Source organism: Homo sapiens, chromosome 2 (assembly GCF_000001405.40).
Source record: "Homo sapiens chromosome 2, GRCh38.p14 Primary Assembly".
Taxonomy (NCBI): domain Eukaryota; kingdom Metazoa; phylum Chordata; class Mammalia; order Primates; family Hominidae; genus Homo; species Homo sapiens.
In genome coordinates this window covers 170,940,726-170,957,613 of record NC_000002.12, presented here as the reverse complement: position 1 = coordinate 170,957,613, position 16,888 = coordinate 170,940,726, and the positions used below count along the sequence as shown (strand labels likewise).

The 16,888-nt window shown below is 38.4% G+C and overlaps 1 protein-coding gene across 2 annotated transcripts in view; it reads right to left on the bottom strand.

Annotated features, from left to right (window-relative positions):
- The window catches only part of GORASP2 (golgi reassembly stacking protein 2), a 38,654-nt gene that overhangs the window by 9,517 nt on the left and 12,249 nt on the right, over positions 1–16,888 (bottom strand). For both annotated transcript variants that reach the window (NM_001201428.2, NM_015530.5), the window contains exons 2-7: positions 9,184–9,264; positions 7,872–8,075; positions 7,324–7,410; positions 6,156–6,286; positions 2,832–2,964; positions 1,055–1,178 (exon numbers count right to left, since the gene is read on the bottom strand). In NM_001201428.2, the coding sequence (NP_001188357.1) occupies positions 1,055–1,178; positions 2,832–2,964; positions 6,156–6,286; positions 7,324–7,410; positions 7,872–8,015 (619 nt within the window). In that variant the 5' untranslated portion in view covers positions 8,016–8,075; positions 9,184–9,264. The remainder of the gene's footprint in view (positions 1–1,054; positions 1,179–2,831; positions 2,965–6,155; positions 6,287–7,323; positions 7,411–7,871; positions 8,076–9,183; positions 9,265–16,888) is intronic.

Sequence of the window (16,888 nt, the reverse complement as noted above, 5' to 3'; positions counted from 1 at the left end):
CTATATCAGGTAGAACAAGGGATGAAGAAAAGGAAGGAGGCTGGGTGCAGTGGCTCACGCCTATAATCCCAGCACTTTGGAAGGCCGAGGAGGGCAGATCACCTGAGGTCAGGAGTTCAAGACCAGCCTGGCCAACATGGCGAAACCGTCTCTACTAAAAATACAAAAATTGGCTGCCGTATGGTGGCACGTGCCTGTAATCCCTGCCACTTGGGAGGCTGAGGCATGAGAATCACTTGAACTCGGGAGGCAGAGGTTGCAGTGAGCCAAGACCATGCCATTGTACTCCGGCCTGGGCAAAAAGAGTGAAACTCTGTTTCAAAAAAAAAAAGAAAAGGAAGGAGACAGGCACATGTCCCCTAAGCAAGACTGAGCTCCTCAGAAAGGAGTTCCTACTCACTTTTGCATCCTCAGTGCCTACTACTTCAGAAACACGCAAACGTGTTGAGTAACCAGAGCAGTTAAACAGAATTTCAACTCAGAGTCCTGGCTTTACAAGTTGTAGAATCTAAGGAAAGCTCAGGGTCTAAAATATGCAGGGAAGAAGTTTAAACCCCGTGTGTATCCACATGGTGATTTAGAACAAGCTTTCACAGCCAGGACCTGTCAACACAGAGTACATATGCAGTTTTCAAGGTACACTGGCATTAATTTTTTAAATTCTTTTTTAAAAATTTTTTTAAAATAATTTTTTAAAATTCTTTAAATTTTTCACTCTGTCGACCAGGCTGGAATGCAGTGGCACAATCACGGCTCACTGCTGCCACAACCTCCAAGGCTCAAGCAATCCTCCCATCTCAGGCTCTCGAGGAGCTGGGACTACAGGTGCACACCACCACACCTGGCTAATTAAAAAAAGTTTTTTTTTTTTAGAGACGTGGTTCCACCATATTGCCCATGCTGGTTTAGAACTCCTGAGCTCAAGCAATCCTGCCTTGGCCTCCCAAAGTGCTGGGATTACAGGTGTGAGCCACTGTGTCTGGTCAATTTTTAAAATTCTATGCAATAATATTACATAAAATAGACTGAAAACAGAATATATTTTTCTGCACACCTGTACTGAGAACACTACTGACAGCTGGTGGAGTTGAGCTAATAGAAAGTCCAGTCAGACTCTGTTCAATTCCTGTAGTTCCTGGTGGTGACAAAGACGGGGGATTAACTGAGGACAGCTGGACCTTCCAAAAAAAGAAAAAAAAACACAAAGATTACTTAAGTTTATTTCAAAGAAAATATAAATATTGGCTCTTACTTGCCCTGCAGATAGATATTTGGTTCACACATGAGCTGTCACAAGCTTCATCTGGCACGTCTGCCTCCAGACACTCCCTCCTAATTTTGGTACATGTCACGGACCATGCACTGTAAGCATCTCTCTCTCCTGTCACTTCTAGTCTTGAGACACATGGCTTCTACCCCAAGTTGCACATGCTGTTCTTCATACTTCCACACTAGAAGAGATTCTACTCTCTCCTCTTTCCTCACCACCTGGAAATCATTTTATTCAACCTTTAAACCACCACTGCTTTCCTGAATTCCCAGCTGGTTTATTTGTTTTAACTTTCATTGCTCAGGAAAGAAATCAGCTGGAAGTCTTAATACATGATAGACTTCTCAAGATTTCCAACCTCATGAGTGCATTTAATATTTTCTCATCAGTGAATAAATGTGGCAGCCAGATCTCCACTTTTCAGGAGAAGAAAAAAAGGAGTCTCTATGGACTCTACAGATGGGTGGTTTCATTTCTGAATAACCCACCTTCTGCAGCTCCAGTGCCCTTCAGTACATTCCGAGACAACCTGTATTCTGGCCCTTTGCCCAGCTGCTAGTCACTGTCATCTTCTCAGACTACCCAAAGAGGTTCAACTGGGAAAGCCCTGATTAGGGCCAGTGGATATGGTGGTTGGGGTCTGAACATGTAACTATATTGGCTCTGGCCATGAGCCAATGTTGGAGGTGAAACTTCCCAGCAGCTCTTAAAGAAGAGCTTCAGTTCCTCTAGAACTGAAGATGGCCAAACTGTGTAGACAAAACCACAGTGGCAGCAGCCTTGTCTTTACAACAGCAGCATTTTCTTTTTGGGTATTTGGTTTTTATTTAGTGGTGCAGACAAGAGTTAACTGCCCTGAGATACCTCCTTAAGAAACATTCAAAAGCCCTGTAAGCCTGCTCAAGTATCTCTTATTCCTTAAAAAGTCTTACTTTGATCCTGTAATAGCCCCTTCACTCCCCTCATGACCCCCACACACATAGCTCTCCTTGTTTTCTCAATCGTTTCTTGAAACAATAAGCAACAGCTAGCAGCACCTTTTCACCTATTCACTCTGCTGACCTGCAGTTTGTTTGTCCCCTGGCAAGTCTCTGAAATTGCTCTCGCCCAGGACATGGTTTTTTTCACTCCTTTCACCTGACTTCTCTGCACTACCTGACATGGCTGACTGTGTTCGATTTCTTGAAGCTTGGTTTTCCCTCTGGCCTCCTGCTGAGCTTCCTTTGCTAGATCTCTGCCCATCCAGATTTTCAAGATGGCGACCCACCCAGACCCAATCCCTAGCAGTACAGGTTTCCTAACAGCCAATGGGTTACATTACCCTCTCTTTGCTGATGATTCCCAAATCTGCATCTCTAGCCCTGTCCTTTTTCCTAAAATCCAGACTCACATATCTAACCTCTATCTAGGTATTTTACAGGAACCTCAAATGTAACACAATCAATACTTAACTCATCGTCTACCCTATTTTCATAGTGCTACTGCCATATAGTAGCACTGAAACACGTGACTCGTTTTGGTAAAAACTTTATGATATACTCAGGTAGGAACGTGATCTTACCTCTGTAAACCCATCTTTAAGAGGTGTAATAGGTGTACCAGCCATTTGTCCTGGAAGAGAAATTTTCTTTCCTTCCTCAAATGGGCGTGTAGGTATTCGATGCAAATAACCATATCCAATGCCACATCCTAGGCTATAAAAACATTTTTTTCTTAACGTTGTTATCTATCACAGCTTGTATTTCTTTGAGGTGTTTTTTTTGGGGGGGGCGGGTAACCCAAGAGCATAGATTCAAGTTGCCCTGAACATGCACTCCCTTCTTTGAGATTTTAAAAGATAAAAACAAACAAATTTCTATTCTTTTAGATAATGTCATCTAAGCAGAGGTCTCCCAGACCACCCCACAGAAAACAACACCCTGCCCTCCACTGTGGATATCACCCTTACTCCTTTATTTTTCAAGAATTCATCACCATCCAACACACTGCATATTTATTTACTATCTATCTCCCCCAACAAAATGTTAAGGTCCTGAAGGGCAGAGACCTTGTCTGTTTACTGCCTTCATAGCTGCCGGCACATGGCAGACATTTGATGATTACTCGCTAAACAAATGACATCGATACAGCCTTTCCACTGAAGAGCTCTAAGCACGTCTGTATGATGACATCATTTACACATTCCATAGTTCTCTTTCAGAACCTGACACAAATCAGTCATGTATGTTCAACCCAGATCTCTTCTATTTCATCCTCCCACTGCCACCAGAGGCATTTTTCTAGTAAGATGTGATCACATTGCTTCTTTCTAGTCTGATGTCTTCTCAACATTCCTTTCTCTTTCCTCCCTTTGGGGAATTACTTCTCTGCTGTTGTGTGCAGTGCTGGTAGGATTGTCAATCAGAGTGTCTGCCCTGCCCAAACCAAGGGAATGGCTCATGGTCAAAGCCAGGCCAATTTCTCTTGCCCATGGCTGCAAACCTTGGGAGTCAGAGAAAAAACAAAAATGGGTTTAGTAGAATGAATGCTGATGACATTGCCAAATACTTCTTCCTATCTAAATCCCTAGGTTTTCTGAGTCCTGTCCTTTCTACATCTGGTTCTTCAGCTGTTTCCTTGATTATATGAGCTAATCCATATCATTAAGTATGTTATCTGCTTATGATGGTGACAGCTAGTTTTTACCATTTGAACCCAAAACCCCTTACTGATACAATTATCACAGCCTCAACTGCTCAAAATATATCGGAAGTCCTGACCGTGGTATTTAAGGCTCTCCATAATCAGGTTCCAACTTATGTTTCCATCATGATGTCTTTTATTTCCCAAACAACTTGACAATTTCAGAGTAGGCCATGCATGAATACCTCTGTGCCCTTCTCCTGCCACATCATCTATTATCTCCACTGCCACCAAAAGCTGGGTGAGCAGGCAGTAGCCAACTTCAGCCTTTTTAATTTTATTTATTTATTTATTTATTTATTTATTAAGACAATTTATTATTCTGTTGCCCAGGCTGTAGCACAGTGGCATGATCTTGGCTCACTGCGACCTCTGCCTCCTGGGCTCAAGCAATCCTCCCGCCTGAGCCTCCTGAGTAGCTGGGACTATAGGTGCATGCCACCACATCTGGCTAATTTTTGTATTTTTTGTAGAGACAACGGTTCTTCAGGTTGCCCAGGCTGGTACTGAACTCCTGAGTTCAAGTGATCCACCCGCCTCAGCCTCCCAAAGCGGTAGTACTACAGGCGTGAGCCACCATGCCAGGCCTAGCTCCTCCTTTACCAGTCTGATATGCACAATGATGCTTCATCTCACAATTATTTGTTCCTTCTTCCCTTCTTCCCTCACAATCAAAACTGCAATTCGGCCAGGCATGGAAGATCACACCTATAATCTCAGGACTTTGGGAGGCCAAGGTGGGAAGATTGCTTGAAGCGAAGAGTTCAAGACTAGCCTGGGAAACAAAGCAAGGCCCCATCTCTAAAAAAGAGTTTCTAAATTAGCCAAGTACAGTGTGTACACCTGTAGTCCCAGGTACTCAGGAAGCTGAGGCGGGAGGACAGCTTGAGCCCAGGAGTTAAAGGCTGCAGTGAACTATGATTGTGCTCCAGCCCAGAGAGCAAGACGCTGTCTCCAAACAAACAAACAAAACCCTGCAATTCTCACTGGACTGGGATTTAGAGAAATAAAGATTAAATAATTTATAGTGATCAATTATGGCCTTTCAGAGGTAGCTACATTTGAAAACAAGGTGCTTATTGGTCAAAGTAATTAAGTGGTAATAGACAATGCACTTGAGGCAACAGCAAGACCCTGGGCAAACTTAAAGACAGCCTAAGAATGAAATTAAGAGAAATAAGATTTAATAAATGAAATGTGGTCAGCCTCTGAGGAAGGAATAAAAACAGAAGCACAAAAAGACCAAATGCATGGTCAGAGGCAGACTGACGAAAATGTTCTGTATGGGCCTAGCTAATGCAATGGCCAACTGACAGTATTAAACACATCAAAAGAAAAAATGTCTTCCAAAGAATGTAGCCAAATTTAGTTAACATAATTAAAAATGAAAGAATATGTGATGTTCTTTGCTGTTGGTCTTCACTGTCCACAGAATCTCTTCCTCCAGTTTGATTCCATGCTCAGCAGGCACTCTTGTGGTACTAATCTGACCTGAGTATTCTTCTAACTAGAGAGGGGGTATTTTTCTATTGCAAACTGAAAATTTGTCATTCAAATATAGCAGCTTCTCTGCAAATGTAGTTTATATGAGGAAGTGCCTCTTGTAATGAATAAATTTTGAATGCCTCGAATAGATCCTATTTCTGGGCATTTACAAACCTGGGCAATGGACAATGATAATTTGATCAAGTATTGCCCCATATAGGCCAGACTCTTGGATGACACATCTATCTTACTTTTCTCAAACTGCAACAAGTTAGAATACTTGTGGCGAAACATTCAGCTGGAGAATCTCAGGTAGTGTGGGTAAAGATACTGTGAGCAAACGGAAGCTTTTCCTGCCTGCAGCAACTAAGTTATCCTTTTCCCAGCATGGGATTAGAACTTTTGAAAACATGTGGAATGTTTCCAAATTCTAGGCTTTTCTATAATTATGGCTTATGCGCAATAATTTCTCAATTAAAAAGAAATGCTGTTAGCTCTTAGGTTAGTAAAGAAAAGGACTATAGTATATATACTATGTTCCCTAGATATGTACTTTAAAAAAATTGGTTTCAATATTCTAGACTAGCTCTTCCCTTTTTTTTAAGAGGAGTCTTAAAATAAACCAGTAATTTCTTTCAAAATAAAAACAATCAATGTCTGCAACATATCTGACTGGTATGTTTAAGCAGTCATAACTTAGTCTAAAAAATGACCTTACCTGCCTTCTCCACCCCATGCAGAATTTGGTGTAATAATCACTTCTCGACAGTTATCAGTGTCTGTGTTGTACACATACAGTTTCAATGGTTTTGCTTCATGTGTTTCGATAAGGCTGAATAGATCTTCAGACTGCAAAAGTGTCACAGGAGAAAATGTTTCACGTTACCATACTTTGGAACAGTGTGTCTCAAACCTGGCTATCAGAATCACCTGAGAAATCTAAGAAAAAAATACAGATTCTGGGCCCTGCCCCAGACATAAAAATCACAAGCAGGTTTAATTCAATATATTAATTCAAGCAAAGCCTACTTACTACATACAAGGCTTTATGGCCAGTTCCTTAAGATCTAGTTGGCACTCTTAGTACAATTCTTTTACACCCGAGTTCTACATATTCTGCTTTTACTTCCCATTATTAAGACCTGGTTGTCTGGGCACCTCATTTCTCACTCTTTTTTTTTTCTTCTTTTTTTGAGACAGGGTCTCTCTAACTGTTGCCTGGGCTAGAGTGCAGTGGCATGATTTTGCCTCACTGCAGCCTCAACCTCTCAGGCTCAAGTGATCCTTCCACCTCAGCCTCCCAGGTAGCTGGGACTATAGGCATGCACCACCATGCCTGGCTAATTTTTGTATTTGTTGTAGAGACAAGGTCTCACTATGCTGCCCAGACTGGTCTCGAACTCCTGAGCTCAAGTAATTCTCCCATCTCGGCCTCCCAAAGTGCTGAGATTATGGGCATGAGCCACTGTGCCCAGCCTTTTCTCTCATTTTTGATTTAGCAATGTATACTTCCGCTAGCTAAGAGACAAGGAAAAGGATGTAATATAGCTGAGCTAATGCTGTCACTGAACAAAAAGGGGAAGAGAAAATGAAATCAATGAACAATTGAAAATGAGAATTTGATTTAGACTTCAGGTATGCAAAGATTTCTGTATATTACACATAAAATCTGTGCAATTGCCGCACAGTATGTGTTTTTCCTCACAGCTATACCTAATAAGACACCTACCAGATGTTCCATTTAACACCCTGAGGCTTAAGTTATTTTTGATCAGCAAAGACTGAAATTTTAACTCTAAATGCAAAGCATGCAAATATCTTTCTCAACTCAAACCTCAATGAGAAAATTTTATATAGTTCTCACTATGAATAAACACACGAATTACCTCATTCATGACTGTATCTGCTCCAATTATATAATCACTGTGTGGTCTAAGACCTGCCAGTGCTGCAGGAGAATTTGATTCCACCTCCTAGAATGACATAAACACACACCCTAAAATTAATATATATAAAATAATCTTCCAAGGTTTATAGTCCAATTTTTAATTATGTTGATTTTTTAAATCTGTATACTTCTGTCTTGCTAGAGATGTGTCAGATGTCAGAAACTACAGAATATATTTTAAACTTCTGAGCATAAAAATTACATAATATTTAACAAATATTTAAAATATTTTTGTAGCTATCTACTCTAACACATCTTATAATGAATAAATCATTAGAAAAAGTTCTTAAACTTGTACATTTGCTTCTCTTCCTCAACTTAAAAAAAAATTGATCCATACTTAAAAAGCAATGAACGCTGATTTTTGGCAAAAATTGCCTATTAATAATATCCTTACAATCTTATTAAGCCAGAAACAACCATTGTTAAAACATCTTTCCACACTGCTTCATGAACCTCCAGTAACAGTTCACAGTTGATACGTACCAGCACATGCCAAACATTTTCATTTGCCCCATCAAAGCTGCAGAAACGAATGCTCACTCCCAATAAGCCCTGGCCGCCCCACAGGTTACTTGGTGTGACTGAGGTCTCTCGCAGTTCCAATGTTTTGCTGCTATAGATAAGCATCTTTACAGGCTTTTCAACGTTTGCTTTCAGCAGATCCTTAAGAGTGTCATTGTCTTTATTCTGTGAACACATAGAAATCACATTCCTTAGTAAATAAAAATTTAATGTTAGCTTAAGCATCCTATGGCCCTATAAGAGTAATATTAATAATCAACATAAATAAAACATTCAACAAAGGTTTCACCAACATTTAAATTTTCTTCTATGTAAAAGAATGTCAAGAAATTAAGAACTCTTACGTTAGCAACAACTTGAAACTGACTTTTTTCTAATAGCTCATTATGGATTATGGAATTTGCAACCCAACATTATTTAGAATGATCTAGGGCTTCAATGTGTAAAAACAAAATATGCCATAAGAAGTCACATTACTAACGAAGTTGTGATGACTTTGATTATAAAAATCTAAAACATTTACTGGGGTTAACGTTTAATTTTGGACTCTATTTCTAAATACATGCTTTATTAAGAGCTGGATAGAAAAGAAAGTAGAAACAGCATATTAAATATTTCATTTCATAAACAAATAAAGGCCAGATGTTGGCCTTTATTTATATGTCAGAGATGTTGTAAGTAATGAACGAAAACTTAAGACTGTTACGAAAAATTAAACCAACCAAGTGGCTACTGTCCTAAGAATTTGCTGAGATTATATAATTTCTTTATCTTAGAACTTTATTATGGGTAAACTCTAAACAAGGTATAAAAAGTGGTTTTAATTTGGTACTTTGGAGCACATCTCTCTGTCTGGTTCTAATAACATTATTCATATATTGTGAAACTTAGCACCAAGAAAACTGACGAGTTTGAGAGAATGAGATGAGAGAATGAATCTTTCTAGTAATCCATTTGTCAACAACCAACAGAAGTCTGACATCTTTAAAAAGCAATCTTTTACATCTTAATTATTTCTTTCTGCTTATAAAAATTAAATATTTAACATATAAAAGACTCCACTGATTCTAGAGACTTCCCTAAGATAATCAGTGGAGCATAAGGTATAATATTATAGATATTTCAATGTTTATTAATACATGATTATTTCTATAAATTGGCATACTACACATAATGATTGTAACTAATAAATACCCATCTCAGGTCATCTGAAAAATTCCATTTTTGAGAGATTACAAATACTATAGACAAAACTACAGAAAGTTGAACTTACTAATCTTGAACCATTAATAGAAACAATAAAATCAAAGAAAGGCTCCAAACCAGCTCTGTGTCCTGGGGAATTTTCTTGTACCTGCGGAAACAAAAACGACAAAAATAAAAAATGTAAAGCTTAGGTGAAAATTGTAAGCCGAATCTCTCTTTTCAGTAAAAATAGACCAATTTCACTGATAATGAAATACAGTACACGCTAGTTCTCTCATTTCTCTTCATCTCTCCCAGATAATGCCCGTCCAGCTCCCTAAACTCTACCCATTCTTTAAGTTAATCTTCTATTTATATTTTTATTTTATTTCTTTGAGACAGACTCCACCTCTGTTGCCCAGGCTGGAATGCAGTGGCACAATCTCGGTTCACTGCAACCTCTGCCTCCCTGATTCAAGCGATTCTTGTGCCTCAGCCTCCCGAGTACCTGGGAGGACTATAGGTGCGTACCACCATGTCCAACTAATTTTTGTATTTTTTGTAGAGACAGGGTTTCGCCTTATTGCCCAGGCTGGTCCTGAACTCCTGGGCTCAAGGGATCCACCTGCCTCAACCTCCCAAAGTGCTGGGATTACAGGTGTGAGCCACTGCACCGGGCCTAGTTCATCTTCTATATGAGGTTTTCCCTCTGTGGTTCTATTTCTGCACCACTTTCTCCTTTTTTGGGAGAAAGGGGCTAATCCTCTCAGCAATTAGCAGGGGACACAGCAGACAGTCACTACAATTAAGTGACAAATTCAAGCAATTATTCCTTGACTACTACTAGCAAGGCACCACTCAGTTACAAAGCAAATACAGGCACATAGTCACGTATGTCAAGACATTTATAATCTGTTGAGGAATAGGTGAGAAGAGGAAGGGGCAATGGATACACAGCCCTCTAATCACTATAATGTAAAACCAAACAGGCTAAAGGCTATTTGGTATAAGGTTCTAAGGGAAAGATTAATTCTGACTGAAGAAGCTTCAGACATAAAAAGTGATAAGGAATTGTGGTTTAAAAAGAGGGTAGAACATTCAAAGGTAAAGATGGTCAAGGGGGTAGGAAGGACATCTGAAAATGGACAAAACAGTATGAGTAAACACCCGAAGCAGGAGTCTGAAGAATGAGGATCACAGCATGCGTAGCTAGACAACAGAGTAGTGTGGACAGAAATAGAGAATTATAGACTTTGAAAACTAGGATTAACCCAGAAATCCTCTAATCCAGGGATCTTAAATTGAGGTCTGTGGATGGCTTCAGAGAATACTACAGCTCCTGAAATTACACACTATCTTTTATATGAATAAGCAGTTTTCAGGGTGTAAATATTGGTGGCTTTCATCAGATTCTCAAAGGGTTTCTCCATAACTCCAAGAAGGTTTAAAAACCAGGGATTTTGTGCAATTCTTTCATTTGATAGGTTAAAAAAAATTACCATGTCTTGCTTATGATTCCATAGCTGCCTAATGGTGGAAGTTAAACTCAAAAATTCATCTTTTTTATTTTTATTTTTTGAGACAAGAGTCTTGCTCTGTTGCCTAGGCTGGAGTGCAGTGACACAATCTCGGCTTACTGCAACCTCCACCTCCCGGGTTCAAGCAATTCTTGTGCCTCAGCCTCCCAAGTAGCTGGGATTACAGGTGTGCACCACCACCACACCGCCTAATTTTTTTTTTTTTTTTTTTTGTAGAGGCATGGTTTCACCATGTTGGCCAGGCTGGTCTCAAACTCCTGGCCTCAAGTGATCTGCCCGCCTCGGCCTCCCAATGTGTTGGGATTACAGGTGTGAGCCACTGCATCCGGCCAAAAGTCCATCTTGAAACTATTAGTCTAACAAAAGGCTGGAAAGAAGGGGTAGAGCTACATTTACTGGCCTTTAAATGAAAGAGTGAGATTACTTTTAATATAATTCATAGGTTCATAGAATAAAAAAGATTACTTAGCTTCTCAACAACTCAAATGTTTATCATCCCATATTTGATAATGGACTGTCAAATTTTCAAAATTTACAGTAGTAAAATGTTAGTAGCTAGTAACAGAAATATGACAAAAAATAAAAAATATAATCCACTCCACATTTTTTTTCCAAAATATTTTCCCAAGGAATTTTTATTCTGCTTGATATTATTAAGTGCTGTCAAAACTATTCCATGGCCAGGTGCAGTGGCTCATGCCTGTAATCCCAGAACTTTAGGAGGACAAGGCAGGAGGATTGGAGTCCAGGAGTTTGAGACTAGCCTGGGCAATATAGGGAGACCCCTGTTTCTACAAAAAAATTAGCCAGGTATGGGGGTATGCTTCTGTAGTCCCAGCTACTTGGAAGGCTGAGCTGGGAGGATCACTTGCACCCAGGAGATTGAGGCTGCAATGAGTCCAGGTCGCACCACTGCACTCCGGTATAGGGGACAGGGCGAGACCCTGTCTCAAAACAAAACAAAACAAAAAAAAATCTATTCCACAAGAACAAAAGTTTGCATTGATATTTATAGGTTGACTTTCTATAATAGTCCAAATAGTTCTATAGTCAGTTTTGCAAATAACAGCAGCAAATGACAGATACACTTTCAACCATACACAAAGCTACAGCTATTTATACAGTAACAAGTCATTTTAATACTTTCAAAATGGAACACAGATTGTTCCTAAAATACATCCTTCTAATACCAGTGTCAATCAGAATTGTTCATTACCTCTTAATGTTACCTTTTATTTACGCCAAATTATAGTATTGTCTCAGAAGAAGTAAAACTTGATATTCTTCTTTTGATAACAGTAAAGAATAGTTGCCCTATATAGACGGTTCAACGTCTAACTCCCTAAAACTGTTTGATCATGTTTTTTATGTTTCCCTGCAAATTTGGGACCAAATCATTTTGTAAATTAAATAAGTTAAATATCAAAGGGATCTATTAAAGGTGTTCAGTTTCTTCTTCTTCTTCTTTTTTTTTTTTTTGAGACAAGGTCCCACTCTGTCACTCAGGCTGTAGTGGAGTGGGGTGCATCCATAGCTTACTCCTGGCCTCCCAAGCAGCTGGGACACGTGTGCACCACCATGCCCAGCTAATTTTTAAATTTTTTCTAGCGCACCACCACACGCAGCTGATTTTTAAATTTTTTCTAGTGTACCACCATGCTCAGCTAATTTTTTAATTTTTTATAGAGATGGGGGTCTTGCTATGTTGCCAATGCAGGTCTCGAACTCCTAGTCTCAAGTGATCCTCCCATCTCAGCCTCCCAAAGCACTAGGATTACAGGGGCACGTCACCATACCCAGCTTTTAGTTTCTGTATACTCAGTTTTCTATGGGGGTTATTTCATATTCTGTATGTTATCAAATAAAATGTCTAGGACTCAAAATAGCATATTTCTTCTCAAATGGCAACTCTGAAAGGTAAAGTAGTGGCTGCCTGGAGTCACAAGAAAAGTGAGGTCAAGTCACAGCTACTGGGGACAAAGTCAGATCAACTAGATGTGAAATGCCTATTAGGTGGTTATCAATTAGATGTGAAAGGCCTCAGGTGTGAAAGGGAATGAACAGCACAGATCCTCAGGCGCCTCCTCAGAGTGGAGTTTCTCATCTAATAAAGCCCACATCTAATCACCTAATTCTCTGAATCTGAATGTTTCTAAAAAACTATTAATAGCATTTTATCTAGAACTCAACTAGGTCACTGATCAATTTCAGACTTTGCCACTGAGACTGCCAGAAGTTTACCTTTTAGTTAAAAAGGGCTAAAGACAGCACTTTTATAAGGTAATCACTCATGTAGAAAGCTGACCCTGCATACTGATTCTTACTAGGCCACCCTTATAAAGTTTAAAGTATAAACTTTAGAGTATAAAGTTTAAACTATTTGTCTGAAATGGAAATTTTCCAATATCAGAAGTATTTTTCCTATAATTCAAAAATGATTCAATAGCTAAATTTGAATTCTAAAATAAACTTGATCCTTTCCCTAGCTCTATTTTTCTATTTCATTTGTTACTAACATCGATTTCCTCTCTGTTTCTAATGGCCCTTGAAATTAACTTCTTTCCTAAATTTATTTACATCATTAGTATCTGCACAATTACATAGGTAGGTATCTTAATTACTGCTAGGAAGTCAGCAGAGAGTGCCCTAGAAAAATCCTCTCTTTGACCCTCATATACCTAAAGGAAATTTCCTATATTTTGTAGCATGGAAAATATGATCTACAACATAGCAAACCAAACACTGACACAGGTAAGTTTCTCTTGCAATGTTATCCACTGACAAGAATCTCCTGGCACGTAATCTCTCAAGCATCAGATTACCACTTCAATACTTTCTATCCCCTATGAGATCTCCTGATTATTAATTTATCTTCGCTTTCTTCAAGTCATCTTAACTAAAAGTCTATATATACTTGGCTCCACAGACCATTTAACATTTATTACTGGGCCAAATATCAAAGCAATTTACAATGAACAGGTTAAATTTGTAAATTTAATAATTAAGGCCAGGCACGGTGGCTCACACTTGTTATCCCAGCACTTTGGGAGGCAGAGGTGAGAGGATCTCCTGAGGCTAGGAGTTCAAGACCAGCTTGGGCAACAAAGTGAGACTCCATCTCTACAAAAATTTTTTAAAAAATTAGCCAGGCATAGTGGCAATTGCCTGTAGTCCCAGCAACTCAGGAAGCTAAGGCGGGAGGATTGCTCGAGCCCAGGAGGTCGAGACTACAGTGAGTCAGGATCACGCCACTGCACTTCAGCCTGGGCGACAGAGCAAGGCTCCATCTCACAAATAAATAAATAAATAAGATTTTAAAAGATTATATACAGTGAAAAAATAATAGACTTTTAGAGCCAGACTGAGTTGGTTTTAAGCCATGATTTTGTCCAGTTATTAGCTGTGTGAGCTTGGTAAAGTTTATTTACCACGCTGGGCCTCAATTTTCTCATTTGCAAGTAAGGGATAACGCCATCTTCTTCACAAGAATGTTGTAAAGATTCAATGAGTTAAGTTTATGAAATGCCTAGCTAAGTCTCAAGCCTATGATAGAAGGCCAAGAAATCTTAAGCTCATCCTCCTAACTCTGCAATCACCATCTGAGGGTAAGTCTTTATAGCTAACCAATTCCTGGACACAACATTATTTTTACAACCATATTAAATACCTTTTACTCTTAAAAAGAAAAAATAAAACTTGTAAAGTGTTAGCAGGAAAGAGAGACAAACCATTTTTTCAAATGTTGCCTCCCAAAAATCAATTCCAGATGGATGGCAGCTCTAAAAGGTCAAGGGTAAAACAATAAACGCTGTAGAGAAAAACATAAGAGAATATCTTTGAGACCTTCAAGTTTGCAAAGGCTTCCTAATAAACTGGACACAAAATGCACTAACCATAAACTAAAATAAATTGATAAAGTGAACTACACTAAGAACTTCTGCTCATCAAAAGGTATAATTAAGAAAGTAAAAAGACATAATACATATCCAACAAAGGATCTGTATCCAGAAGAAATCTTGAACTACTGTAAAGCGTTCAGAAAGACAGACAATAAAACCGCAAGATACTATTTCTTGTCCACTGGAATGACCATAATTAAAAAGAGAGTAACAAGCATTGGCAAGGATGTGGAGAAAATGGAACACTCATACATTTGCTGGTGGGAATGTAAAATGGTGTAGCCGCTGTGGAAAACAGTTTGGCAGATCCTCAAAATGTTACACACAAAGTTATCACATGATCCAGCAATTCCACTCCAGGTATACAAATAACCAAGGAAAATGAAAATATATCTCCATGCAAAAACCTGTACACAAATTTTATAGCAGCATTATTCATAATATCCCTAACGTAGAAACAGCCCAAATGTCCCCCAACTGATAAATGGATAAACAAAATGTGGTATACCCATAAGAAAGGATGAAGTACCAATGCACGCTATGACATGGATAAATCTTGAAAACATTATGCTAAGTGAAAGAAGCTAGTCACAGAAGACCACATATTGTTTGATTCAATTAATATGAAATGTCCGCAATAGACAAATCCATAGAGACAGAAAGCAGATTAGTTGTTATGAGGGGTTGTGGGTGGAAGAATGGGGGAATGGCTACTAATACATATGGGTTTCTTTCTGGAGTAATACACAGATTCTGGAATTAGGCAGTGGTGATGGTTGCAGAACTCTATGAATATACTAAAAACCCACCAAACTGTATACTTTAGAAGTCTGAACTTTCTGGTATGTAACTTTTATCACAATAAAGTTGCTTAAAACAGAAAAAAAGACAACCCAATAGAGAAATGGAGAAAAGATTTTAGCAGACACTAAACAAAACAGGATACTGAAGTGATCTATAAATATGAAAATGTGCTCAACTTCAATGGTCATCAAGGAAATGCAAATTAAAACCACAATGCAACACTACTACACATCTATCAGAATGAATGAAATTAAAAAGACGAAAAATATTAAGTGTTAGTGAGGACGTAGGACATTTAGAAACCTCAATTACTGCTGGTTAGAATGCAAACTAGTAAATGACTTGGCAATATCTATTAATATTGAAAATATGCACACCTTTTGACCGTATATTCCAACCTTGGGTATATACCCAACAGAAATGGGTATACACATGTTCTCTAAAAGCAATACACTATAATGTTGATAGTAGCACTATTTATAAAAGCCCCAAACTGAAAACTACAAAAATCCCCATCAACAGGTTAATAAATATTGGCATATTCTCTCAATGGCACCAAATACATTAATGACATGAAAGGTCTACAATAATATACATGAATAAATCTCACAAGCAATATCCGAGCAAAAGAAGCCAGATACAAATGAGTACCTAGCACATGGTTCCCCTTATACAAAGTACAAGAACAGGCCAAACTCATCTATGCTGTTAGAAATCAGGATATTCATCCTGTGGAGGTGGGAGTTGTGCAGGATGTCACTGGAAAGGGATAAGAGGCTGGTTACATTAAGTGTGTTGCTTGTGAAAATTCACCAAGCTATACACTTGTGTGCACTCTTTTAATATAAAGCCTTAAAAGATGCTCCCTGTATCAAAACAAGTATACTGAGGTTACACTTTTTCCAATGCCTTTTTTTCCAATTCTTCTTAGGGCCACACGATTTACTTTGACAATTAAGAAACATAATAAAGCAGCTGAAAATACTAAAGAGCAATTATGCTTACAAAATAATAATTATAAAAAGATATATTACCAAAACATGGATAGGTAGAAGAAATTATGAACACATTAACTGGCAGTTGTAAGGTTCAAACTATACATCTGAGGTTAGCTTACAAAATAAAAACTACAGCAGCGTGAAAGAAATGCTTCTCTCCTAACATTCTAGAAAAAACGGCTGCAATAAACAAGATGATATTTGCTAGACAGTTTTTACCCCTCAACGAGCAAAAATGAGAAGCTTATGATGAAACTGCACAGTAAAGGGGCATCTCTATTACATAAAAAGAAATTTGCATCAATGATTAGAAGCTGGATTTTTTAATCACCAACTTTATAGAAATAATCCCTAAAGTGGTGTCATTCAACTACAGTGGATGATTTCAGTAGGTTCTGAAATCAATTTAGTGTGTCACAAAAGACAAGTATCAAAACACAATATCACAATAGAAAATCTGTCAAAAATGCATGATATAATAAAGGCCTATATTCTTCATGAAATGTAGTATGTACTGGTTGCAATGGAAAATACATTTTTTGGCTTGAGCTACA